The sequence below is a fragment of the Homo sapiens genome, chromosome 12, assembly GCF_000001405.40.
Source record: "Homo sapiens chromosome 12, GRCh38.p14 Primary Assembly".
Lineage (NCBI taxonomy): Eukaryota > Metazoa > Chordata > Mammalia > Primates > Hominidae > Homo > Homo sapiens.
Genome location: NC_000012.12, coordinates 56,571,867 through 56,598,783, shown reverse-complemented (window position 1 = coordinate 56,598,783; position 26,917 = coordinate 56,571,867). Strand labels below are relative to the sequence as shown.

At 45.5% G+C, this 26,917-nt stretch overlaps 2 protein-coding genes and 1 pseudogene across 54 annotated transcripts in view, besides 1 other annotated feature; 1 reads left to right on the top strand and 2 right to left on the bottom strand.

Annotated features, from left to right (window-relative positions):
* BAZ2A (bromodomain adjacent to zinc finger domain 2A) overlaps positions 1 to 3,188 on the top strand; it is a 42,723-nt gene extending 39,535 nt beyond the window's left edge. For 36 of the 39 annotated variants that reach the window (XM_047428142.1, XM_047428148.1, XM_047428155.1 and 33 more), the window contains one exon: positions 1 to 1,172. In XM_047428142.1, coding sequence (XP_047284098.1) covers positions 1 to 166 — 166 coding nt within the window. In that variant the 3' untranslated portion in view covers positions 167 to 1,172. The other 3 variants (NM_013449.4, NM_001351156.2, NM_001300905.2) reach the window with 1 other exon arrangement.
* Positions 2,591 to 26,917, bottom strand: part of RBMS2 (RNA binding motif single stranded interacting protein 2) — a 75,789-nt gene continuing 51,462 nt past the window's right edge. For 6 of the 15 annotated variants that reach the window (XM_024449115.2, XM_047429297.1, XM_006719541.5 and 3 more), the window contains 9 exons: positions 17,521 to 17,600; positions 17,276 to 17,385; positions 16,905 to 16,951; positions 16,632 to 16,725; positions 11,858 to 11,935; positions 11,125 to 11,230; positions 10,410 to 10,490; positions 9,766 to 9,852; positions 3,184 to 9,506 (listed from right to left, as the gene is read on the bottom strand). In XM_024449115.2, the coding sequence (XP_024304883.1) occupies positions 9,298 to 9,506; positions 9,766 to 9,852; positions 10,410 to 10,490; positions 11,125 to 11,230; positions 11,858 to 11,935; positions 16,632 to 16,725; positions 16,905 to 16,951; positions 17,276 to 17,385; positions 17,521 to 17,600 (892 nt within the window). In that variant the 3' untranslated portion in view covers positions 3,184 to 9,297. Of the gene's footprint in view, positions 9,645 to 9,765; positions 9,853 to 10,409; positions 10,491 to 11,119; positions 11,231 to 11,857; positions 11,936 to 16,631; positions 16,726 to 16,904; positions 16,952 to 17,275; positions 17,386 to 17,520; positions 17,601 to 23,989; positions 25,995 to 26,917 lie in introns of those variants that run through there. The other 9 variants (NM_002898.4, NM_001414461.1, XM_005269059.6 and 6 more) reach the window with 9 other exon arrangements.
* On the bottom strand, positions 10,163 to 10,266 carry RNU6-343P (RNA, U6 small nuclear 343, pseudogene; annotated as a pseudogene).
* Positions 16,589 to 16,638: an enhancer, noted in NCBI's record as "active region_6503". NCBI's record gives its function as "activates an Ori minimal core promoter by ATAC-STARR-seq in GM12878 lymphoblastoid cells {active_cell/tissue: GM12878}" and the evidence as "EXISTENCE:reporter gene assay evidence [ECO:0000049][PMID:35858748]".

The window sequence follows — 26,917 nt, the reverse complement described above, 5'->3', positions numbered from 1 at the left end:
GTACACCAGCTCAGAGGAGTTTGCGGCTGATGCCCTCCTGGTATTTGACAACTGCCAGACTTTCAACGAGGATGACTCTGAAGTAGGCAAGGCTGGGCACATCATGCGCCGCTTCTTCGAGAGCCGCTGGGAGGAGTTTTATCAGGGAAAACAGGCCAATCTGTGAGGCAAGGGAGGTGGGGAGTCACCTTGTGGCATCTCCCCCCACCTTCCAAACAAAAACCTGCCATTTTCACCTGCTGATGCTGCCCTGGGTCCAGACTCAAGTCAGATACAACCCTGATTTTTGACCTTGCCCTTGGCAGTGCCCCACATCCTCTTATTCCTACATCCCTTTCTCCCTTCCCTCCTCTTGCTCCTCAAGTAAGAGGTGCAGAGATGAGGTCCTTCTGGACTAAAAGCCAAAAAAAGAAAGAAAAAAATAATTTTTCTTTTCTGTTTTATTTGCTAATTAAAAATGGGGAGGGGGAAAGTCGTCCCTACTTCCTCCTCCCTGCTTCCTCTCCTCCCCTGTACGTGCCCCAGCATTCTGGGGTTATTTAACAATAGCAATAGTTCTAGTGAATGTGTGAAACCAAGAAACACTCTGTACTGTGTGCGGACCCGCAGTGACGGCCAGTAAAGTGGACTTAACTCCCAAGTGTGTCGCGCCGGACACCGGGCCCTGGACATGCTGCTTCCATGTTCAGTCCCTTCCCTGCTTCTCGCTGTCTTTCTTTTCCCACCTCCCACCCCCCAGTTTTCAGATTTTCTCTCATCCAATAATGTAAAACTATCGTGTACGGGTTCCTCCCTCCTTTTCTCTTCTCCCAAATCTTTTCCCTTCAAAGGAAAAAAAAATGTTCAGAGGTCCCTGTCTTCTGTCCCCATCTTCCTGCCGATAGCTATCCCCTGTATGATGTTGGATGCTCCTCACATGCTGAGTTTCCAGCCTTTTCTGAAACTCAGTAGCTGGGGAGAGGGCAGGGAGGCTTCCTGGGCCTTCCAGCCTCCTTCCCCACCTCCTTCCCAAACCCTCTTGGGAACTCCTCAGGGACAACTACTGCTGAGTTTGGGTGCACCCTAAGATGGAGGCCAGGTAGCAATGGGGCCGGCCTCAGAGAGAGCGCTGTGTGTGTGTGTGTGTGTGTGTGTGTGTGTGTGTGTCGGCCTCAGAGCGCGCTGTGTGTGTGTGTGTGTGTGTCAGCCTCAGAGCGCGCGCTGTGTGTGTGTGTGTGTGTGCGTGCTTGTGACCCTGTATTGTTTGATAGGATCCATTCAGTTTCCCCAAGTACCTGTTTTCATTCCCATTTTTCCCATTGTTTAAAACCATCACTTTTTTGTCTTTGGGAAACCACAGGAACAATTTCTCTGGAGACAAGGCTGTGTCTCTCTCCTGGTCATTTTTGTTCCAGCCTCTTCAGACTGTGCAATCTTTCAGCAGGAACTCCCTCTCTTCTCGGTAGCTTTGAATCTTAAGCTTCTACGGGAGAGTGGTAGAACTGGATCATTTCCTAATCCCATTTAGTTGTGCTTTTCTTCATTTACTTCATACCCCAGGACCCCTTCCCCAGCAGCAGAGACCCTGGAGCACAGGAGAGTAGGGAGGAGGGGTTCTGGGTCCATCACTGCCCTACATGTGACTATGTCCAAGTTAAGCCCCCAACACGAGAGGAAAGCTGCTGACTCCCAGCTATAGCCATGGGCACTTGGCCCCCTGCTTTTCCTGCTCAGCAGAGCCCCTCCCTTCAGAGATTACGGGTACTTGCACTGGGGAGGTGGCTGCTGGCTGGCCCAAGCAGAGAGCTGAGGCATCCAAGAAATGTTCCATTGGGGGGTGGGGGTGCCAGGTGAGGTGGAGCATTCCTTGTATTCTGGCAGCACTGAAGAGCCACTGAAGGGGGTAGGGGCAGTGTAGGTCCTGGGGCAGCCCCTTTATTCCTTTATGCCCCTTCTCCCTCATAGCCTATTTCTAAAGTCGCCTTTTCTGTCAGATAAACCTCAAAACTTTTAATTTTATTTGAGATTTTTTTTTGCTTTTAAGAGGTGGATTGAAGAATATTTGAATTGACTTTATATTATGCATAAATATTTATATTTTATCTAAATAACTGCGCTGTAACAAACTTTGTGTTAGACAGTTGAAACTGTTAGAGTTGGGGGCTCTGCTTTTTCCCCCTGGCAATTTTCCCCTGGTATAAGATGTGCTAGATTAATTTCATTGTGAGGTGGATGGGGGAGTGAAATTGTGAGGTGGATGGGGGAGTGAAATCTCCATGGTTCCTGCTTTGTGTTCCTCTCCCAGCTCCATCTCTTTCCCTAGGGACCAGGCACTCATATGGCGGGGTGGGGTCCTAGCCTCAGTTTGAAGAAGTGGGGGCTGGAGCGGGGTTGGGGGTGGTAGGGATAGGGCATGATCAAAGGGGCCATTTCTTGCTTTTCTTTCCTCATCTTCACTGCCCCCTTGAGCTAGGTGGATTTTCTCTTCATGACAAGAGTATTTGGTAGGGAAAGCAGGTTTAAAATAAAAAGACAACCCACCCCCTGCCCTTTTGCTTCCCTCCCATCAGTCTGGTTGACAGGAAGAAACCACACCATCAACACCAACAAGTTTCTGTGTTCCTTTTACAGCAAAAGGGACTTTTTATATAACCAAATGTGGTGTTTTAGTGACTTTTTGATAATGTACAGTTTTTTGTGAATTTAAATTTATTTCTTTCTATATTTTTAGGACCAATCTCATTTTTAATAAGGTTAAAAAGAAAAAAAAAGTCTAGCGAAAAAACTCCTGTTTTTGCCATGTGATGTTCCACAAGTGCAGCTGTAGAAAAGTGCTTGTCAGTTGTTGAATAAAAAAAACCACATTTGATAGAGATTCAAAAGACTCTGTGTATTCATCTTCCCTTCTACACACCTGAGGGGGAGACGGCGTTGGGATAGGTATGACTGGCTTAAGAGACCACAGGCAAGGGAACAACAGGGGCTCCTGTTCCATACCCTCTGTGTGGATGGAAAGGGTCATTAGTGCTCCTGCCTAAATGTCTGGCTGAGTTGCTGGAGCAAAGGGGGATTCAGTGCATCCAGGTCCTGCCTTGTGAGATGTGGCCCCAGCTTCCTAAGCTGCCACCTCTGTGTTCCTGTCATAGCAAATATGGGACCATCACCAGCTTACCACTTCCCACTCACGGATAAGACACCAAGACGTAGACTTTTGTGTTTTATTTAAAAAAAAAAAAGTGTGAAGTAAGACAAAATGGACCTCTACCAAGTTGTAGGGAAGGACAAGGAAAAGACCAGGGGTAGAAAAGGAGTGTAAGTTTTAGAATGGTGGCATTGGCATAGATGTGGGAAGAGTATAAAACTAGAAGAAGTCTCCAGATAAAAATATGCAAAATATGTCTGTTTAAGTATAAACATTTTCTGTCCACATGCAAAGAGGTGTTTACCCACCCAAAAAGGGTATATGTTGGAGTGGGGACTTCACTCGCGCTGGATATGTATTACCCTCCAGCCTGGAAACTTTGTCTTGGTGCAACCCCCTAAACTGTATGTTAAGGTAGAAAAGGAACATTCGCTTCCAGCCTTATAAAAATGACAGACTCCCTCTTTGGTGTTTGGTTACCTTCACAGCTATACGCCAGCCACTGAGCAGCTTTCTTGTCCTCTTAAGTTCTAAACTCTGCTCCTATGCTGGTGTCCTCCAACCATTACTTATTACCCTAAGCCGTCACTGCACAGCCTACTCCCCTGGCCTATCACAGCAGGACCTATCTGGAGAGTTCACACTATTCTAGGGCGATCAGTGAGCTAAAAATCCCAGAGAAAACACTGTAGGAATAGAAATTCCCAAGTTTAATTCCCAAGAGTTTAAAAATTATGAGCCTTTTCTAGCCCCCACCTTCCCAACCCTCAGAGAAGGACAGTAAAGAAATCAGTGAATCCAGGTATTTACCTGTTGTTGAATTGTGAGGTTGTGAGGTAGACGTGTAACAAGGACAAGGAAGTTTGGGGATCTGCTTGGAGAATGAAGGTTTATTCAAAACAAGTGGACAGGTCAGGGGTAACGGGTGATGAGGGCACCTGGCTTTTGTAATCATGTGGGGACTGTCCCCTGGGAGGTGCAGCAAAAATCAGAACGGAGACAGAAGCTCACAGTCTGGTTTTAGCTGCCAACTCCTATGGAAGTCCATAGCTGACTCCTATGGAAGGCCTACCAAATGAGGAAATTTCAGGAATTTGCTAATGCGTGGGAGGATTGAAAATGTAGGCAGCACAGAAATAGAGTAGTTGGTTTAAACGGGAATCAGGAAGGATTGGTATAACAAGGCACAAGATTTGGAATTTACCCTTTACAGACTGGCTTTTATAACACCCACCCTCGTCTCTGAAGCCTGCTGATTCAGGGCTAGCAGAGCCTAGGGGCAAGTTTGGGCCAGATCACCCACCCAGTTTATTGCCCTTGGCTAAGAATGCAAAGCCCCTCATGAGCGCAATGCTGCCACTTGCCCAGAAGGTGGGGCATGTGCACAAGGCAGCAGCAATAGTTCTTTTCTAGAAGACTAATAGCCACTGCTACTAGGGATTCCTAGGACATTCCAGCAAGGCCTCTCACAGCATCATATGACGCAAAGTAACAGCCCACGGGTTGACATTGGAGTGACAGGCCTCAACTCCCAATGGGTTGACATTGGAGTGACAGGAGTAGGCACTGGAGGCACTAAGGGAGGGTGAGTGAGCTGATTGTCAAGTTAGGAAAGGAAAACGAATGGAGTGGAGCTGAAGTGGCCCAACCCAGCGCATGGCCTGTGAAGCAGCAAAGTCTGGTCTTCATCTTCAATATGAGTAATGTCCTCTTACCACTCCTTATCTGTTACTGACAAGGTCTATTACCCTTTAGAGCCACCAGGCTTCCTGGCCTGGGCAACTCTACAAATTCTTTAGTTAAAAACACTACAAAGGGCCGGGTGCAGTGGCTCACGCCTGTAATCCCAGCACTTTGGGAGGCCAAGGCAGGTGGATCATTTGAGCCCAGGAGTTCAACACCAGCCTGGGCAATGTGGCAAAACCCTGTCTCTACTAAAAATACAAAAATTAGCCAGGCATGGTGGCAGGCACCTGTAATCCCAGCTACTCAGGAGGCTGAGGCAGGAGAACTGCTTGAACCCAGGAGATGGAGGTTTCAGTGAGCCAAGATCACGCCACTGCACTCCAGCCTGGGCGACAGAGCGAGACTCCGTCTCAAAGAAAAAATAAAAATAAAAAAACTGAAAAGGCCAGGTGTGGTGGCTCATGCCTATAATCCCAGCACTTTGGGAGGCCGAGGTGGGTGGATCATTTGAGCCCAGGAGTTCGAGACGAGGCTGGGCAACATGGCGAAAACCTGTCTCTATTAAAAATACAAAAATTAGCTGTTTGGAGGTCAGGAGTTGGACACTAGCCTGGCCAACGTGGTAAAACCCCATCTCTACTAAAAATAAAAAAATTAGCCAGGCATGGTGGCACAAGCCCATAGTCCCAGCTACTTGGTGGCCGGGGAAGGGGTGGCTGAGGCAAGAGGATCACCTGAGCCTTGGGAGGTCGAGGCTGCAGTGAGCCATTATGGTGCCACTGCACTCCAGCCTGGGCCACAGAGTGAGACCCTGTCTCAAAAAAACAAAACAACAAAACCAAAAAACCAAAAACATTAAAAACAACATCTCATCCAAGCATGGAGGCTCACACCTGTAATCATAGCACTTTGGGAGGCTGAGGTGGGAGGCTCACTTGACAGGAGTTCAAGACCAGTCTGGGCAACATAGTAAGACCCCTGTCTCTACAAAAACTTAAAATAACGAACTGGGCTTGGTAGTATGTGCCTGTACTTCCAGCTACTTGGGAGGCTTAGGTGGGAAGAACCCTTGGGCCCAGGAATTCAAGACTGTAGTAGACTACGACTGCATCACTGCACTCCAGCCTGGGTGACACAGCAAGACCATCTCTAAAAAATAAAATAAAGGCCGGGCGCGGTGGCTCACGCCTGTAATCCCAGCACTTTGGGAGGCTAAGGCGGGCAGATCACCTGAGGTCAGGAGTTCGAGACCAGCCTGGCCAACATGGTGAAACCCCATCTCTACTAAAAATAAAAAAATTAGCCGGGCATGGTGGTGGGTGCCTGTAATCCCAGCTACATGGGAGGCTGAGGCAGGAGAATTGCTTGAACCTGGGAGGCGGAGGTTGCAGTGAGCCGAGATCGTGCCATTGCACTCCAGCCTGGGCGACAGAGCAAGACTCTGTCTGAAAAAATAAAATAAAATAAAAACATCTCTCTCCATCATCATCTCCACATCTTCCTGACCTCTCTACTGGCACCCTCCTCCAAAAAGTCCAATCAGTTTAGGGTCTGAGTATCATCTCAGAGCCTGAGATGAGGAGTAATAACACCGATAGGAGATGGCTAGGCAGGCTCAGAGCCTATAAAGGATTATGCCATCTGAGGAAAGGACTCTAGTGTGTTCTAGCTGACTGAAAACAGAAAAATGCCAAGTACTAAAATATTTTAAGAATGTTATGAGCATCTGTAATGAGTGGGGGTGAGATGTAAAGTACAAAGAGAGTAAGAGCTGGGCTCCATGAAGACAGCATTCAGAAAACACTAGGCATAGTGTTTAAGAGCCCAACCCTTGGCTGTGAGCTGGAAGGCTCCCCTATGTTTCCTTCTGCCATCAACCCAACCAATTAGACTATTTCATGGGAGAAACAGTATCCCTCCTTTCTTCTCCCTCCTTTCCTCCAAACACTCACCCACTGTTACAAATGAACTAACAATTAGGAGAGGAAATGAGTGTAAACCAAATGCACCAAAAAAGAAATTCCTCAGTGCCATTAGCCACTGCAAAATAACTTCAGGCCCCCATCACTTCCCATGCCCAAACCAGAAACACTCATTAATACAATCTAACAAGTAGATTCACATGAGAAGAACTCCAAAAGGTAAATTCAAAATTCAAAACAAAAAATTAGAGCCATTTAAACATTTTAAAATATATATATAGAGAGAGAAAGAAGACAGAATCAGGAGTTCTGTGAGGCAGAGGAGAGGGGAGTGGCAATATCAACAATGGTTTCTATGCGTGAAAGGCCCTTCCTAAACCTCCTACCATAGCAAAGCTCCCCCGGTCTATCAGATGAACAGAATTCTAGATTTGTTTTCTCTTTCTCTCAAAGGCCACTGACAAGAAAGCAGCTATGGTATATTTTCCTTGACTGAGGGCTGGAGACTCAAAAACAAAAGCTATCTGCCCAGCCAGAGCCCTCTAGAAGGTTGCTGGGCTTGGGGCTATTTTACACTGGATAAGCCCTTCCTGAGTTTGGAAGCATCAATTAGAAGACTGCGGCAATTTGTCCTTTACGCTTTATATCCTACCCATTGCCCCGCACTCCCTCACCCCTAGGATGTACATAGAAAGTCGACACTAGGGGCACTGGGACTCTCAATTCTAGGGTGGCTGGGAAGGGAGGGAAAGCTGGGCCGAGCTCTACTTGTGACAACTGATACTACAGTTTCTTTTCCCCTGCTGTCACCCCCTTCCTCTCCCTATGGCCAGCCTAATGAACACCTGTCTCTCTATCCTCCATTATTTGCCTTTGTCTGACTGTCTAGTGGAGAGGCACCTGGCCTTGAAGTGCAAGGGAGTCAAATTCTCCTTTCAGTGCATAAGGGAGTGACTGGGAGAAGACAAGAGCAGGATTTTATTTCCTAGAAGATGGGTGAAGTCTTTCTTCAATCTGTCTCCATGTGTATAGAGTCACATCTTGCAGAAGGGGACAGTTAAAGACCAAGACATAGGCTTTTTTAAAGGACTCCTGACCTCATAAAGAGTTGGAATTTATTGCTCTTTGCTACCCTAGCTCCCCGTTGTCCTTCCACAGAAGGAACATTATTTCTGATGTCCTGGTTCCCTGGGCAAAGGGTCCAAGCACACCGGGGCAGGGCAGGTTGCTCTGGACAGTTTAGAGAGCTTTGTCCTTTCCCACCATTGCACAGCACACACCAGAACAATGCCCACCTGAATCCCTCTGAGTACATGTGTGCATTCAGCATGGAGCCACAGCTCTTTCAAGAATCACTCTTGCTATATGCAGAGTTATCAAAAGTCAAAGTCTGGGGAGAATTCAAGGATCCCAGTCCAGTCCTTCCCCAACAGTTGCATGAGTGTCAAAAGGCACTGTTTGTCCAGGGTTGGGGTGAAAATTTACCCTAACCCAGGAGGCAGGGACAACACTGTCTATATCAGTGTTTCCCAGTCTTGGCAATATTGACCCCTGGAGTCAGATAATTCTTGGCTGGGGGTAGTGGGGACTATCCTATGCAGTGTAGGATGTTTAGCAGCCACTAGATGCCAGTAGCACACACATCCCACCTCCAGGCGTGGCAATCAAAACTGTCTCTAGATGTTGCCAAAGGCCTGAGGGACAAAACCACCTCTGATTGAGAACTCCTGGTCTGTGAGTGAAGCAGCAGATCTTCCACCGTGTGGAAGGAGCCTATGTGGATTCAACTAGGTCGCAGCTGCAAAGGCTCTGAGCACAGCAATGTGTAACAGGGAAGAGAGGGGCCATGAAGCCCAGGACAGAAAATATCCTCCAGGAGGCAAGAAAGCAGGTACTCCCAAAAAGCTATACCTCAGATGCTGTTGGCCTTGGCAGTGAGAAGAGTTGATAAAAGTCAGTAAGTCCATTCTTCCGGAACTTGCCAGGGAAGACCTAGTCTTCAACCAAGTTTGGCTCAAGGGTGTGTTCCCAGGGCTGTGGAGTTGTCTCTTTAGTAAGCCTGGGTCACATCTGTGCTTTCTGAAGCCAAAGTCTAGTTTTTTCTCCCAGGGTGTGGCAGGGTGGGGGAAAGAACAGCCACTTCCATGGCCTACTTAGTGTTCTGCCTTGTTCCTTGCCCAGCCTGCCCCCCAACCCCAAATTCCACATGAAATTTCATTTTTAAAAATCCATAAAATTAAAAGCTGTAAAAGGGCAAAGTAGGCAGGCTCAGCTGTTTAGAAAAGAGAAAAAGAAGAATCTGGACAAGAGAAAGAAGGCATAATATGGGTGAAGAGGAGATGGGGTGCATGAGCTGAGAGCTTTACAAAATAACATTTTTAGAGCCTGCATACTTTTTAAAACACATACACACATGCATCAAAAAAGTCCATAACTAAGCTCAGTAAGTAGGGCTCCTTCATCGATGTTCCAGCACCACACCTTTCTGTTCTGTTTTGGTTTGTAAAGAAATAATTACAAATTGTTTTAAAAGCATTCCCAAATAATTCCAATACATCGAAAACTTTTTCATATAGATGAGAAGCTGCGACCACCATGTCTCTTCAAGGTAGGGGAAAAGTACGTTGCAGTTAAAAACAAAAAGCTTTCTTTGCAAAAGAAGAAAAGTTTTTTTGATCTCCTTGAATGTAGCACACAAAAAAAGTGATGGTTCCCCCAGGCTCCATCAGCAATAGTAAAGGGCAGGAACGTAGAGATTTCTTTTTCCAGGCCCAGGCCTGTGAAAAACGATGGCTAAGTGTTAGTCCTTAGCAGGGCCGACGGATGGTCTCCATTCCTGGTTAACCCTCTGGAATCTGGGAGCATGAGTATCTCCAAGAATTCATTTCTATTCAGTAAAGATGGGGAGGGGAATCCTAAAGAAGGCACAAGCCAGAGAGGAGACAAGACAAACATGAGAACCTGTCTGACTTCAGGCCGGGCTGAGCTGCTGTCTGCCAGTGCAGCCCTCCCTGCCCCCCAGCATGTGGTTCTTACCCACTGTTACTTGTTGAACTGGAAAGAATAGACCCCATGCTCTGAGGGTGCGTCCACTGCCACTTGGTTCTGTTGGCCGCTGCTCTCCTGTGCCATAGCCAAGGAGGGGGGTCATCTTGCGCATTCCTTTCCTCACCTCCACTACAGCAGCCTGACCAAAGCCCACCCTACATCGAGTGCCCTCCCAAACCTACCCACTCTCCACACTCATGTGTGAGTGTTTCCACCCACACCACCACTTCCCCAACCTTCCTACAGCCTGTCCTCTTCCCAAGACGCATTAGTCAATACAAGCCAGCATCCTGGTGTCAACTACTGGCTGGCCAAATGTAAGGAAGGGCCTCATTCATGAACTCAGACCAAGTCCTTCTTTCCTACATCTGCTGTTGTTTTTTTTTTAAATATGGAACGCTTCACAAATTTGCATGTCATCCTTGCACAGGGGCCATAATCTTCTCTGTATTGTTCCAATTTTAGTATGCATGCTGCCGAAGCGAGCACATCCTTCCTACGTTCTTCGTATACCTACCAGCTATTTGTGAACACAGAATCAGCATCATTGTGAGAGAAAGATCTTGATCAGGGGGAAACCTGCCTCCGTTCATTTTCCTAATCTCAATCCAAAGAAATGATAACACCCTTACCTCGACTGAAACACTGGAAGAAGGCACAGGGGTGTACTGGGAGATGTAAGCTCCTTGCATAGCTGCAGCCGTCGGCATATACTAGAAAGAGAAACATCAACAGGCTTACAGCAGTGATTTTTGGCTACATTTGAAGCAGCTGAGGGGCTTTAAAAAAAATACTGACACCTGTATTCTACCCCAGAGATTCTATTTTAATTGGTCTGAGCATTTGCATCTTAAAAGCACTTCAGGTGGTTCTAAAGTACACTGTTAGGGAGACGTCTCCCTATATGACTTATTTTCCTCCTCTTTCCTGACTTTCTTCTGCTTTTCCTCAACACACTCCCTTCTCTACCCTTGAGCCCTTTCTATGCAAAAAGGAATGCAGTAGGCCTAAAAGAAACCTAATGAGCTTCCTCCATCCTTCCAGGTACTATTTTGATGAGGATTCCTAGGACGTGTGTGTATCTTAAACTAATATGCAGACAGAAGCACTATTCACAAGGTGCATGAGTAGGAATCAGTTAAAAGGGGTGGGCTGGGGAGCAGAATGGCTGTATTCCTGGCTCATGGAGCACTACCATTGTAGTTTATGTCCTGTTCTGAGTGTGCCCCGGATGACACTGAAGTAATTCCATCATTATTCATAAGTTACTTACGCTGAAGAGTATTACACAGGTATGCCTTGCTCAGTAGGAGAGTTTACAATCAGAAATATCCTGCTTTACCGTGCCTGTGCTGCTGAGGGAGAGATGGCCCAGTTGCTGGGTAAGGGGTCCCATCATGGAGGCAGGCTGGAGAGAAATGGGATGGTCCATCCCTGGTGTCAGAACTGAACCCTAGAGGCAGCAACAAAGGACAGGGTTAGCTGCAGCATCCTGTGAGGCTGCCTAAAGCAGTGATCGGTGGCTGTCAGGACCACTGGAGACAGACATTTAAGAATCCTGGGAAATGGTAAGTGAGCAGCAACCCAACTATGCAACAAGAATAGGAACTCTGCCTGTCAGTGTGGAAGGACCCTCGTCTAAGAATAACAAGCTTAGGTCTTACTGCTGGGTTGCACAAGGGTCTGAGCCAGAACTCACACCCACATCTCCTGGCATCAAAGGCCTTTTTTTTTTTTTTGAGACGGAGTTTCACTCTTATTGCCCAGACTGGAGTGCAATGGCACGATCTCAGCTCACTGCAACCTCTGCCTCCCGAATTTAAGCAATTCTCCTGTATCAGCCTCCTGAGTAGCTGGGATTACAGGCACCCGCCACTACACCTGGCTAATTTTTGGCATTTTTAGTAGAGACAGGGTTTTGTCATGTTGGCCAGGCTGGTCTCGAACTCCTGACCTCAGGTGATTTGCCTGCCTTGGCCTCCCAAAGTGCTGGGATTACAGGCGTGAGCCACAGTGCCCAGCCAGTTTTTTCTTTACATCAAATTGCCTCTTTGGCTTCTGCCCACTTCTGAATACTCACTGAAGGCTGCATGAGGTATGAATGGTGGTGCATCCAGGATGGGTTAGGTACTTGTAGAGGAGATGTCTGAGTCACTCTCTAAAACAAGCAAAAACAAAAATGTTAATTGCCTGGAAACTATTATTCAGCCCACAGATCTAATAATGTTCAACAAAGCTCAGAAAAGTTTGAATGCCCCACTCAAAATAGAAACATTAAGAAAAACTGTTTTTAAAATATTAGCAATTCTTAAAACTCAATAAATAATCCAGTTTAAAAAAGGGCAAAAAGGAGTTCAAAATTATAGTGAGCTATGATTCTGACACTGCACTCCAGCCTGGGCGACAGAGTGAGACCCTGTCACTAAAAAAATTAGTAAAAAAAAAAAAGGGTTTGGAAAGATATCTCTCTAAGAAGATATACAAATAGCCAATGAGTACATGAAAGAGGTTCAAATGCAAATCAAAACCACAATGGGATACCACTTCATACCTATTAGGATGGCTACAATTATTATTTCTATTTTTTGAGACAGAGTCTTGCTCTGTTGCCCAGGCTGGAGTGCAGTAGCGGGACTACAGGTGTGCACCACCACACCTGGCTACTTTTTTTTTTTGAGACAGGATCTTGCTCTGTCACCCAAGCTGGAGTGCAGTGGCAGGATCTCAGCTCACTGCAAGCTCCGCCTCCCGGGTTCACACCATTCTCCCACCTCAGCCTCCTGAGTAGCTGGGACTACAGGTGCCCGCCACCATGCCCGGCTAATTTTGCTTTTGTATTTTCAGTAGAGACAGGGTTTCACCGTGTTAGCCAGGATGGTCTCAATCTCCTGACCTCGTGATATGCCCGCCTCAGCCTCCCAAAGTGCTGGGATTACAGGCGTGAGCCACCGTGCCCGGCCCACACCTGGCTACTTTTTGTATTTTTTGTAGAGACGGGGTTTCGCCATGTTGCCCAGGCTAGTCTTGAACTCCTCAGCTCAAGTGATCCGCCCACCTCAGCCTCCCACAGTGCTGGGATTACAGGTATGAGCCACAGTGCAAGGCCAGCATGACTACAATTAAAAGGATAGAATAACAAGTGTTTTACACTGCCACTGGTGGGAATGTAAAATGGTGCAGCTACTCTGGAAAATGCTTTGGCAGTTCCTCAAAAAGTTAAATATAGAGTTACTATGTAGCCCAGCAATTCCACTCCTAGGTATATATCCAAGTGAAATGAAAACATATGTCCACACAAAAACTTGTATATCAATGTTTATAGCAGTATTATTCATAATGATCAAAAGGAAACAACTTAAATGATGACCAATTGATAACTGGATAAACAAAATGTGGTATAGCCATATAATGGAATATTATTCAGCTATAAAAAGAATGAAGTACTGATAAATGCTACAACATGGATACATCTTGAAAACATACTAAGTGAAAGAAGCCAGACGCAAAAAAATCATATTGTATGATTTTACTTTTGTGTAATCACACAATCATACAATTTTCTGAGCTTTGCCTATTATATCCAGAATAGGCAAATCCATAGACACAGAAGTATATAATGGGTTGCAAGGACATTTCAATTAAAATTGGATTTGAAATAATCCAATATTGGATTAAATAATCCAAAAAGTGAGATTATTTAATAATTTGGCGCTAGGCCAACTGGTTAACACTCTGAAAGAAAACAGACTCCTATCTTATGCCATACACAAAGATAAATTCCTGATGATTACACATTTAAATGTAAATGTAAAACATAAAATCTTAGAGACCAGATACACAGTATAGAGACAGAGAATACTTTTTTAAATTAAGACAAGAAATTTAGCCGGGCGCAGTGGCTCACGCCTGTAATCCCAACACTTTGGGAGGCCGAGGTGGGTGGATCACCTGAGGTTGGGAGTTTGAGACCAGCCTGACCAACACAGAGAAACCCCATCTCTACTAAACATACAAAATTACCCAGGCATGGTGGCATATGCCTGTAATCCCAGCTACTTGGGAGGCTGAGGCAGGAGAATCACTTGAACCCAGGAGGCAGAGGTTGCAGTGAGCTGAGATTGGTCCATTGTACTCCAGCCTGGGCAACAAGAGCGAAACTCGGTCACAAAAAAAAAAAAAAAAAAGACAAGAAGTTCAAAAGTTATTTATTTATTTATTTTTTGAGACAGAGTCTCACTCTGTCGCCGAGGCTGGAGTGCAGTGGCGCGATCTCGGCTTACTGCAAGCTTCACCTCTCAGGTTCACGCCATTCTCCTGCCTCAGCCTCCCCAGCAGCTGGGACTACAGGTGCCCACCACCATGCCCGGCTAATTTTTTGTATTTTTAGTAGAGACGGCGTTTCACTGTGTTAGTCTGGATGGTCTCGATCTCCTGACCTTGTGATCCGCCCTCCTCGGCCTCCCAAAGTGCTGGGATTATAGGCGTGAGCCACCGTGCCTGGCCTCAAAAGTTATTTATAAAAGAAAAAGACAAATTTAACTATATAGAAATTTTAAACTTTTTTTTTTTTTTTTTGAGACATGGTCTTGCTCTGTTGCACAGGATGAAGTACAGTGGCGCGATCACAGCTCACTGAAACCTCAATCTCCGGGCTCAAGCAATTCTCCCACCTCAGCCTCCTGAGTTACTGGGATTACAGGCACGCACCACCTCACCTGGCTAATTTTTGTATTTTTTGTAGGGACAGGGGTTTTGCCATGTTGCCCAGGCTGGTCTCGAACTCCTGAGCTCAAGTGATCTGCCTGCCTCTGCCTCCCAAACTGCTGGGATTTCAGGCATGAGCCATCACACCTGGCCAAATTTTAAACTTTTATATGGCAAAAACTAGTGATTCCCACACTATGGTCCCTGGACCAGCAGCAGTGGCAGCAGCATCACCTGGGAACTTGTTGGACATGCAAATTCTTGCCTTCCACCCATCTTACTGAACCAGGAACTGGGTGTGGTGCCCAGCAATCCAGTTTTCAATAAGCTTTCCACATGATTCTGATACATCGCTAAAGTTTGAGGACCACAAATTCAACAGCCAAAAAATAAAATTGGAAAAAAATTTGTAACAAAGATAACATTTAGAAGATTAATACTTACATGGAGTTTTTATAAGTTGATGGGAAAAGAACAAATAACCAAATAGAAACATGGACAAAGCATATGAATAGCAATCAGAGAGAAGCCAATCAAACTATGACAAATGAAATGGTTAAATTCACCTATAGTAAGGGACATGCAAATTAAAATAACGATGTACTTTACATTCATCAAGACAGGAACAATTTTTTTGTTTTTTTTTTTGAGACAGAGTTTCACTCTTGTCGCCCAGGCTGGAGTGTAGTGGCGCGATCTCGGCTCACCACAACCTCTGCCTGCTGGGTTCAAGCAATTCTCTGGCCTCAGCCTCCCAAGTAGCTGGGATTACAGGCGCCCGCCACCATGCCCAGCTAATTTCTGTGTTTTTAGTAAAGACTAGGTTTCACCATGTTGGCCAGGCTGGTCTCGAACTCCTGACCTCAGGTGATCCACCTGCCTCGGCCTCCCAAAGTGCTGGGATTACAGGTATGAGCCACCGTGCCCAGCAAGACAGGAACAATTTTAAAAGAGCAGTAGCACCTATGCCTGGAAGGAAATGGGTACTTTCATACATGGCTGGTAGAAATGTGAGGTGACACAGCCTTTGTGGAAAGCAATCTGGCAACATCTATAAAACTGAAAATCCATATAGCATTCAACCTAGCAATCCACCTCCTGGGACTCTAGCCCCCAGAAATAGAAGCATTCATATATAAAAATATAGCACAAGGGTGTTTAGTGGAGCATTATTGATAGCAGCAAAAAAACGAATCTAAGTGAATGCCCCCATTGGGTATAGCTAAAGAATTCTGGCATATCTGCAGCATGAAATATAATGCAACCATTAAAAAAGATAAAATTAGAGCAGAGGATCTCAACATTAGCTGCAACAGAATCACCTGGAGGGCTTGTTAAAACCCAGATCACGGCTGGGCGTGGCGCAGCACTTTGGGAGGCCGAGGCGGGCGGATCACCTGAGGTCAGGAGTTTGAGACCAGTCTGGCCAACATGGTGAAACCCCGTCTCTACTAAAAAAAACAAAAATTAGCTGGGCGTGGTGGCGCATGCCTGTAATCCCAGGTACTCCAGAGGCTAAAACAGGAGAATCGCCTGAACCTAGGAGGCGGAGATTGCAGTGAGCCGAGATTGCACCACTGCATTCCAGCCTGGGCAACAGAGGGAGACGCCCTCTTAAAACAAACAAACAAACAAACAAAAGCCCAGATCACTGGGCCCCATCCTCAGAGTTTGTAATTCAGTAGATTTGGAGGGTAGTCCAAAATTTCTGTTTCTAAAAATTCTCAGATGATGCTGATGCTGCTTGTTCAGGGACCACACTTTGAGAATCACTGGTGTAGGATACTGTTAAGTGAGATGAGTGAATGTAAAAATATATTTAATCTGGTCCAATTTTTGTAAAATAAACAACTCCCCAAATGCTATACATATGTGTATTCATATGAAAAAATATGACAAATGCTACACAGTAGGACATTAACATGAGTTTACTTGTGGAGGTGGTGGAGGGGGAGTAAGAGGACACCATTAAAACTGTATACCATATATATGACCACATGCACAGATCATCTTTTACGCTGTTATGTAAAATTGTGTGTAATATGATTAAAAGGAAAAACAAAAAACAAGTAGTTCCTAGCCTTATATTACTTCACTTAAAGCACAGTAGTAGGGAAAACCACCACACCATTTTTCAGGCATGAACATACCTGATACGAAGACACAGGAGAGGAAAGGTATGGGGAGAGTGCAGACTGAGCAAGCATCCTGTTGGGGGTGATGTTATAGGGGGCTGGGTAAAACCTGTGGGAAGGAACCTCAATCAGTACTGAGTCACAGGAAACCACAAGGGAAGGGTCCCAACTGATAGGCACAGCCAACGTTCCCTTGACTTTCAAATAGAGAGAATCAAGATGAATCATTTGAGTGTCTGGACACAGGCCATTATCATTTTCAGGTGGCTTGATTATATAAAACCTTACCCATTCTGAAGAGCTGTGGTGGGGTCATAGGTCAAGGCCATGACGCCCTATAAAGAAAGAACACAGTGTTCACATTGTGAGCCCTTGAGTGAGAATAGGAGCTGGCCCAGAATGTCCAAGGCTGGGAATGTTTTGGTTTAACAAATTAAAGCCTAGACAAGTCCCACTACAGCTGTTTCAGAGTTTTTCTAATTGTGCAGGCCGCAAAGCCACACTCGAGAACAAACTGGCAGTATGTTCACAGCCAGCATTTCTCAATTACGTACTGTAGCTCTCAAGCTTTCCACCTAAGCTCACAGAAATCATGCCATGATCATTTCCGTTCCACTTTAATGTCGTTAGTACTCCTGTCTCCTCAGAGGTCCTCTTACCATGTCTGCATTCCTTGGCCAAGCCCGTCCATTTTGCACAAATTTTCCTTGGTTCTGTCGTTTCTTTGGCCCGCCATCAGCAAATTTGCAAAGCAAGGGATCGGATGGGGCTGCCGAGAGAGAAGGCAGATGGGCAGCTGAGTCCCACCTCATGTGGCCCAGGCACAGTCATGCAAAGCTGCTCCAGAATCTTCACTGGAAGTAACAACCTGTGGCCCTCTCAGCCTGAGCCCCAGATGCCTCACCTGGTACTCCAGGGGGTGTCTTAATATATTTTCCATTAAAGTGGGTGATGATGGCTTCACACTTCTCTGTGGACTCCATCCTAAGGAGCATAAGAGGGGTTAGGCTCTAGCTTCTCCAGGATCTGTGCTCTCCACACATTGAAAGAGAAAGCAAAGCTCTAAGTTCCCAGCCCCACAACTGCTCCAAATGTTATGACTACAGAAACACAGAGTGTCTGCCACACAAATTCAAGGTTCTTGAAGAGGTAACCCCAGCTTGTAATGAAGGTTCTTTCAACTGGTCCCTGTATGGGATCCTCATAGGAATAATGGCAGTCTTCAGACTATTAACATGGGCCCTCTCTTGTATCTGCCATATAAATAAGAATACAAGAAATAGAGGTTGTTACCATTATTTTTTATTAGAAAATTCTGAATGAAAATTGTTCCTTTAATTTGATAAAATTGTACAAGCTAAGAATTTGCCAATATTTATTTTTTGCTCCTTGTTGTAATTAAGGTCAAGGTCTAATTAGCTATTGATAATATCATTAATATTTCATGAATCTGTGGAAGGAAAAAGCAATAAGAAAGAGTTCATGGCCCATAGTGATAGAAAAAGGAATGTTGGAGTCTACTGAGTTAGTTTCTTGTTGGAGAAAGAGAAATAAGGAATCAGAAGACTGAGATTCCAGCACCACTTCGCCACCCAGAGCTCTGTGAGTTAGGACACTCACAAAAACCCTCTGATCCGCCGGGTGCGGTGGCTCACGCCTGTAATCCCAGCACTTTGGGAGGCTGAGGCAGGCAGATCACTTGAGGTCAGGAGTTTGAGGCCAGCCTGGACAACATGGAGAAACCCCATCTCTACTAAAAATACAAAAATTAGCCGGGAGTGGTGGCACTTGCCTGTAGTCCCAGCTACTCAGGAGGCAGAGGTGAGAGAATCGCTTGAACCTGGGAGGCAGAGGTTGTAGTGAGTCGAGATCACGCCATTGCACTCCAGCCTGGGCAACAGGGCGAGAATCTGTGTTAAAAAAAAAAAAAAAAAAAAGGCCAGGCTCAGTGGTTCACGCCTGTAATCCCAGCACTTTGGGAGGCTGAGGCGGGCGGATCACAAGGTCAGGAGATCAAGACCATCCTGGCCAACATGGTGAAACCCCGTCTCTACTAAAAATACAAAAAAAATTAGCTGAGTGTGGTGGTGCGTGCCAGTAGTCCCAGCTACTCGGGAGGCTGAGGGAGAAGAATTGCTTGAACCTGGGAAGCAGAGGCTGCAGTGAGCTGAGATCATGCCACTGCACTCCAGCCTAGGTGACAGAGCAAGACTCCGTCTCAAAAACAACAACAAAAAACAAAGCAAAACAAAAAAACCCCTCTGATCTACTCCTTATTTGTGCTTTAGAGATAACATCCATCTACCCTACCACATGGTGTTGTGTAGATCAAAGGAGATAATGTATATAAATGTGTTCTACAAATTATAAGGGACTATATAGAACAAGGAACAGTATTTTCACCTATTTCCATATTTAAATTAACTCAGTATATTTAATCTATTTCCCCATATTTAAAGTAAGACTCACATTTTCTGTGCCAATGACCACCAGAAATATGAACCATTCCTATAAAAGATTTTTTTTTTTTTTTTGAGACTGAGTCTTGCTCTGTCGCCCAGGCTGGAGTGCAGTGGCGCGATCTCGGCTCACTACAAGCTCTGCCTCCTGGGTTCACACCATTCTCCTGCCTCAGCCTCCCAAGTAAGCTGGGACTACAGGTGCCCGCCACCACACCCGGCTAATTTTTTTTGGTATTTTTAGTAGAGACGGGGTTTCACCCTGTTAGCCAGAATGGTCTCCATCTCCTGACCTCGTGATCCGCCCGCCTCATCCTCCCAAAGTGCTGGGATTACAGGCATGAGTCACCGCAACCAGCCAAAAGAAGATATTGTTAAAAGTCCTTAAATTGAGCCTTTTAGAGAAAACCACACATTAGGTATCGTAGAGCTGTGGTCTTCTGTTGGGTACTTCTACCCCTTACAGTCTTTCCAAAGGGTAAGCAGGCCGTGGAGCATTTCAGAATCTCAAGTTTCTCAAAAACTGTTAAATCTGATCTTCCTGAGGGAGAGCTCCTGACGGCTAATGATCAAGGCTGAAGTCCCCTCTTACAATAGCTCCTCTCAAATGGTTTCCAATTCTTTAGAAACAACAAAGTTGGGGGACTTTAGCAAGTTGTCAATTCACACATAAAAAATCAATTTTGATGACAGAACACCTTGGTTCTTGGCATATAATTCAGAAGGATTTTTTTGTTTGTTTTTTTAGATGGAGTCTCGCTCTGTTGCCCAGGCTGGAGTACAGTGGTGCAATCTCGGCTCACTGCAACCTCCTCCTCCCAGGTTCAAACGATTCTCCTACCTCAGCTCCCAAGTAGCTGGGATTACAGGCATGAGCCACCACGCCTGGCTAATTGCTGTATTTTCAGTAGAGATGGGGTTTCACCATGTTGTCCAGGCTGGTCTCAAACTTCTGGCCTCAAGTGATCTGCCTGCTTCGGCCTCCCAAAGTGCTGGGATTACAGGCACAAGCCACCACACCTGGCCAGAAGAAATTTTTAAAATTCCTGTTTTAACAAAATCCTTTCCACTCCCATCTACTTATTTATGAGAACAAGGTTTCTCAGCATGAAAACAAAAAGCAGAAACAGAACTGGCATTAAACTCTCCCTTGTTACAGTAATAAACAATATTAATTTATGCTTACCTGTCCTAATTAGAAAAATCTAAACAAAACAAAACCTATCCATGTCATAGATGCTTCTGTATATGCAATAAAATTTACTTCTATAAAATAATTTGGCCAGGTGTGGTGGCTCACCTCTGTAATCCCAGCACTTTGGGAAACCGAGTTGGGTGGATCACTTGAGGCCAGGAGTTCGAGACCAGCCTGGCCAACTGGGTGAAACCCTGTCTCTACTAAAAATACAAAAATTAGCTGGGCATGGTGGCATGCACCTGTAATCCCAGCTACTTGGGAGGCTGAGGCACAAGAATCGCCTGAACCCGGGAGGCGGAGTTTACAGTGAGCTGAGATCACACCACTGTAATCCAGCCTGGGCAACAGAGCGAGACGCCATCTCAAAAAAATAAAAAAAAAAATTTGGGCCAGGAACAGTAGCTCATGCCTCAATCCCAGCACTTTGAAAGGCTGAGGCAGGAGGACTGCTTGAGCCCAGGTGTTCAAGACCAGCTTGGGCAAAACAGTGAGACTCCAACTCTACAAAAAAATTAAAAAATTAGGCCGGGTCCAGTGGCTCACGCCTGTAATCCTAGCACTCTGGGAGGCCGAGGCAGGTGGATTGCCTGAGCTCAGCTCAGGAGTTCGAGACCAGCCTGGGCAACATGGTAAAACCCAGTCTCTACTAAAATACAAAAAATTAGCCGGGCGTGGCGGCATGTGCCAGTGGTCCCGGCTACTTGGGAGGTTGAGGCAGGAGAATTGCTTGAACCTGGGAGGCAGAGGTTGCCATGAGCCAAGATTGCAGCACTGCACTCCAGCCTGGGCGACAGAGTGAAACTCCATCTCCAAAAAAAAAATTAAAAAATTAAAAAATTTGCTGCCCCCACCATCCCCCCACCAAAAAATTAGCTGGGCATGGTGGTGGGGGCCTGTAGTTCCAGATACTCAGGAAGCGGAGGTGTAAGGATCACTTGAGCCCAGAAGGTCAAGGCTGTAGTGAGCCAGGATCGTACCAATGCACTCTAGCCTGCACAACCGAGTGAGACCCTGTCTCAATAATAATAATAATAATAATAATAATAATAATAATTTTGTATGAACATTTTATTTTATTTTATTTATTATTATTATTTTTGAGATGGAGTTTCGCTCTTGTTGTCCAGGCTGGAGTGCAGTGGTGTGATCTCGGCTCACTGCAACTTCTGCCTCCTGGGTTCAAATGATTCTCCTGCCTCAGACTCCTGAGTAGCTGGGATTACAGTAGCTGGGATTACAGGCGCTCGCCCAGCTAATTTTTGTACTTTTAGTAGAGACAGGGTTTCACCGAGTTGACCAGGCTGGTCTCGAACTCCTGACCTCAGGTGATCCACCCACCTTGGCCTCCCAAAGTGCTGGGCTTACGGGCGTGAGCCACTGCCCCTGGCCTTGTATGAACATTTTAATATATTTATGTTGTCTGGGCAATTGTGAGCTCATCATTGTAAAGATAACTTTTTTTTTTTTTTTTTTTTGGAATCTCACTCTGTCATCCAGGCTGGAGTGCAGTGGTGTGATCTCAGCTCACTGCAACCTCCATCTCCCAGGTTCAAGTGATTCTCTCACCTCAGCCTCCTAAGTAGCTGGAATTACAGGTGCCCACCAACACACCTAGCTAATTTTTATATTTTTAGTAGAGACGGGGTTTCACCATTTTGGCCAGGCTGGTCTCAAATTCCTGACCTCAAGTGATCCGCCCACCTCAGCCTCCCAAAGTGCTGGTATTATACAGGCATGAGCCACCATGCCTGGCCAAAATTTTTAATTTATATACATATTTTTGTTGCAGAGAAGTATGACAAGATGATCCATAAAGACTTTATAAAAATATTTTACACTAGAATACAATTCTATAGAGAAATGGAATAGAAACAAAATTCTATAGAGAAATGGAATAGAAACACAAGTTCAAGAAGAAAAAAGGAATATAAGAATGATATGAGATTTATGACTCTAGTAGTCCCCCCTTATCCTCAGGAGATACATTCCAAGTCCCCTAGTGGATGCCTGAAACCATGGATAGTACCAAACCCTAGATATACTACGCTTTTTCATCTGATGGCCACAATGGCTACTAAGTGACTAATGGGTGGGTAGCATTTGCAGTGTGGATACTTTGGACAAAGGGTGGGATGGAGCGGACAACATGAAATTTTTTATTTATTTATGTTTTTGAGACAGAATCTCACTGTGTCACTCATGTTAGAGTGCAGTGGTGTGATCTTGGCTCACTGCAACCTCTGCCTCTCAGGTTCAAGCAATTCTACTGCCTCAGCCTCCCGAGTACCTGGGACTACAGGTGCACACTACCACTCCTGGCTAGCTTTGTATTTTTAATGGAGATGGGGTTTTACCATGTTGACCAGGCTGGTCTTGACCTCCTGATCTCAAGTGATCTGCTCGCCTCGGCCTCCCAAAGTGTTGGGATTACAGACATGAGCCACCGAGCCCAGCCTGAAATTTAATCATGCTACTCAGAATGGCATACAATTTAAAAACTTTGTAACTATTTCTGGACTTTTCCATTTAATATTTTCAGTTGACTGTGGGTAACTGAAACCATAGAAAGTAAAACCATAAATAAGGGGGGACCACTCTATTTTTTTTTTTTTCTTTGAGATGGAGTTTTGCTCTTGTCGCCCAGGCTGGAGTGCAATGGCGTGATCTCAGCTCACCGTAACCTCCGCCTCCCAGGTTCAAATGATTCTCCTGCCTCAGCCTCCTGAGTAGCTGGGATTACAGGCATGCGCCACCATGCCCAGCTAATTTTGCATTTTTAGTAGAGACGGGGTTTTTCCACGTTGGTCAGGCTGGTCTCGAACTCCCGACCTCAGGTGATCTGCCTGCCTTGGCTTCCCAAAGTGTTGGGATTACAGGCGTGAGCCACCATGCCTGGCCGAGACTACTGTATTTAATTTAAAAAAAAATAGCCCTTTTTTTTTGAGGGGGGGTGTAGGGGTAAGGGGGACTAGGAAGTGGCTGGGGGTCCTATGGGCCCATAGCTCCATCCCCAGGGCAAGACCCACCCCATCTGCCTCCAGCCCTACCCATATTCCTGTATTGATTTATTTATTGAGACAGGGTCTCACTCTGTAGCCCAGGCCAGAGTGCAGTGGTGTGATCATGGTTGACTGCAGTTTTGACCTCCTGGGCTCAGGTGATCCTCCCACCTTAGCCTCCCAGGTAGCTGGAACTATAGGCACGTGCCACCATGCTCAGCTAATTTTTTTTGTTTGTTTTGTTTTTGTAGAGATGGGGTTTCACATGTTGCCCAGGCTGGTCTTGAACTCCTGAGCTCAAGTGATCTGCCCGCCTCAGCCTCCCAAAGTCGGGTTTTTTTTTGAGACGAGTCTCACTCTGTTGCCCAGGCTGAAGTGCATGTCGCCCAGGCTGAAGCGCCTTGGTGCAATCTGGGCTCACTGCAAGCTCCGCCTCCCGGGTTCACACCATTCTCCAGCATCAGCCTTCCGAGTAAGCTGGGACTACAGGCGCCCGCCACCACGCCCGGCTAATTTTTTGTATTTTTAGTAGAGATGGGGTTTCACCATGTTAGCCAGGATGATCTCGATCTCCTGACCTCATGATCCGCCCGCCTCGGCCTCCCAAAGTGCTAGGATTATAGGCGTGAGTCACGGAGTCCGGCCAAAGTCAGGTATTTTTTAAATGAATGATTTGTGTATCAGATTGCTATGATATTTAGATCTCATTTGAATACATTTTTAAACGAAGTAACAGTTTTATTTTAAATGCCAATATTTATAATTTGCTGGAAATCATACTTTGCATGAATCTGAATATATGAAGAAAACTTGTAGACATTAACATAGAAACATATAAGAGATTTCATAGTTTTTCAAAAGTCTCTAAAGCCACAGTTCCTAAACTGTGCTCTCAGGCACTGTGGGTGGCTGTGGTGAACTCAGAGGGTCACAACGAGGGTTATTTTAACTCTTTGAAGAAAAACAGCAATATCTGTTGGAGAATGTGTGCACTACTAACTCAAAATTGTACACTGCTTCAACATTAGTTCCCCCTACAATCCTTTTGATAGATAACATCATATTTTCACAAAGCTGGGTTTAAATAGTTGCTATGACAAAAGCAAATACCATAAGAAAACCAATACGTAACAGGAAATGAGTGTGTAGGTGTCCATTCTGATACCAAATTTTGAGAAGTTGTGCAATTCCAACAGGCACATATTCCATTAGTAAGTATAGTTAGAATGAAATAAAGACATGCTCTCTTTCAATGTTTGTGTATTATTTTTTCAAACAGCTACAAAGTTGTTAAAGCATAAACACTTCTTAAGCTGTATGGACCATGAAGTTACTGCTGTCAGGAAATTTTTTTAAAAAGTTGTGTGGACTGGCTGGGCGCAGTGGCTCATGCCTGTAATCCTAGCACTTTGGGAGGCTGAGGCGGCTGGATAACCTGAGGTCAGGAGTTCGAGAACAGCCTGGACAACCTGGTGAAACCACATCTTTACTAAAAATACAAAAATTAGCTGGGCATGGTGGCGGGCGCCTGTAATCCCAGTTACTCAGGAGGCTGAGGCAGGAGAATCACTTGAACCCGGGAGGCAGAGGTTGCAGTGAGCCAAGATTGTGCCATTGCACTCCAGCCTGGGCAACAGAGTGAGACTTCGTCTCAACAACAACAACAACAACAACAAAAATACAAAAATTAGCCAGGCGTGGTGGTACGCACCTGTGGTACGCGACAGAGCGAGACTCCGTCTCAAAAAAAAAAAAAAAAAGTGTGGACCATTCAGTTACTTAATAAATTGAACTGTTAGGTATTTCTTTTGGTCTAGGGTGAAAAACTATTAGATAACTAAGGGTGGCACAAACTGAGAAAGGTTAAGAACCTCTGCTCAACCTGCAAAATAAGTTCGATGGTCCCAAGCCTAGGAACTCTCCTTTAGATATACACGGGATTGCCAGCAGGTGGTGCTACTAAGCTTGAGTCAGCTGGGGAAGAGGAACTATTTCTTTTCTTCTTCTTCTTTTTTTTTTTTTTTTTTTTTTTTTTGAGATGGCGTCTCGCTTTGCTGCCCAGGCTGGAATGCAATGGCGCGATCTCGGCTTACTGCAACCTCCGCCTCCCGGGTTCAAGTGATTCTCCTGCCTCAGCCTCCCGAGTAGCTGGGACTACAGGAGCCCGCCACCATACCCAGCTAATTTTTGTATTTTTAGTAGAGACGGGGTTTCACCAGGTTGGCCAGGCTGGTCTCAAACTCCTGACCTCAGGTGATCCACCCGCCTCAGCCTCCCAAAGTGCTGGGATTACAGGCGTGAGCCACCACGCCCAGCCAAGAGAAACTATTTCTTGTTCCCAAGGTCTGAAACACTCAGAGTAAGGGGGTGTTCACGGACCAGACAAGATATAAAGCAAAAAGGGGTGCTTGGCTCACTTAGTCCAGTCATTTTGAAACTAAAAAAAAAAAAAAAAGTCAAAAGAATCTCCTTTCAAATAAAATCTTAAAATAAATAAAAGCAGAGCCATTTCTTAAGTGGGCTAAGGGAGGCTGATACCCTACGACAGTGAGGGCAGATACCAAAGCCCAAAGAAGGGCACCTGGGAAAACTGCAGGTATAGGGAATACTGTGGGAAAATTACTCATCTGAATCAATCTCCACTTCAGAGAGTGAACCAAGGCTCACAAGCTCTGATATCACAGGTGCAGAATTGTTCTGGAATACAGGTCTCCCAACAGATCTGAAAAGGAAGATCAAAACTTCTACCTCATCCTACTGCTCTCAAAGCCAGAAGGATCAGGGCTCTGCTCTAACACCCACTCCTGTAAGACCCTGGGCAAATCATTTCTACTGAAGAGTTCACTTTCCTCATCTGTAAGATAGAGAATATTTATCTCACAGGGATGTTGTAAAGATTAAATGAGACAAGATGAGAAATACTCAGTAAACTATAAGAATATACAGAATTTTTTACTCTGGTTGGGTCTGGATTAAAGGAACAAAGCCTAGAGTACTTCCCTAGGAAGTAGTAGGGAGCTTAGCCGAGTGTGGTGGCTCATGCCTGTAATCCCAACTGCTTAGGTGGCTGAGGCAGGAGGATCACTTGAGCCCAGATGTTCAAGAGCAGCCTGGGCAACACAGCAAGACCCCATCTTTATAAAAAAAATATTTAGGTGGGGCTAATGGGTTTTTGAGTATTGTAACCTATAATAAAATGAACCTTTTTTTTTTTTTTTTTTTTGAGACAGAGTCTCACTCTGTTCCCCAGGCTGCAGTGCAGTGGTGCGATCTCAGCTCACTGCAACCTCTGCCTCCCAGGTTCAAGCAATTCTCCTGCCTCAGCCTCCTGAGTAGCTGGGATTACAGGCATGCGCCACCACGTCTGGCTAATTTTTGTATTTTTAGTAGAGACGGGGTTTCACCATGTTTGCCAGGCTGGTCTCAAACTCCTGACCTCAGGTGATATGCCTGCCTTGGCCTCCTAAAGTGCTGGGATTACAGGTGTAAGCCACCGCACCTGGCCTAAAATGAACTTTTGACTTACCATCAAGTATTTTTGAATAATAGTAAAGTATTTTGACCTTGTGTGGGAAAGGCATAGATTTTGTTTTCTGGTGACCCCCAAGTGACATTTGTTATTAACCTCATCATTTCCCCACTCCT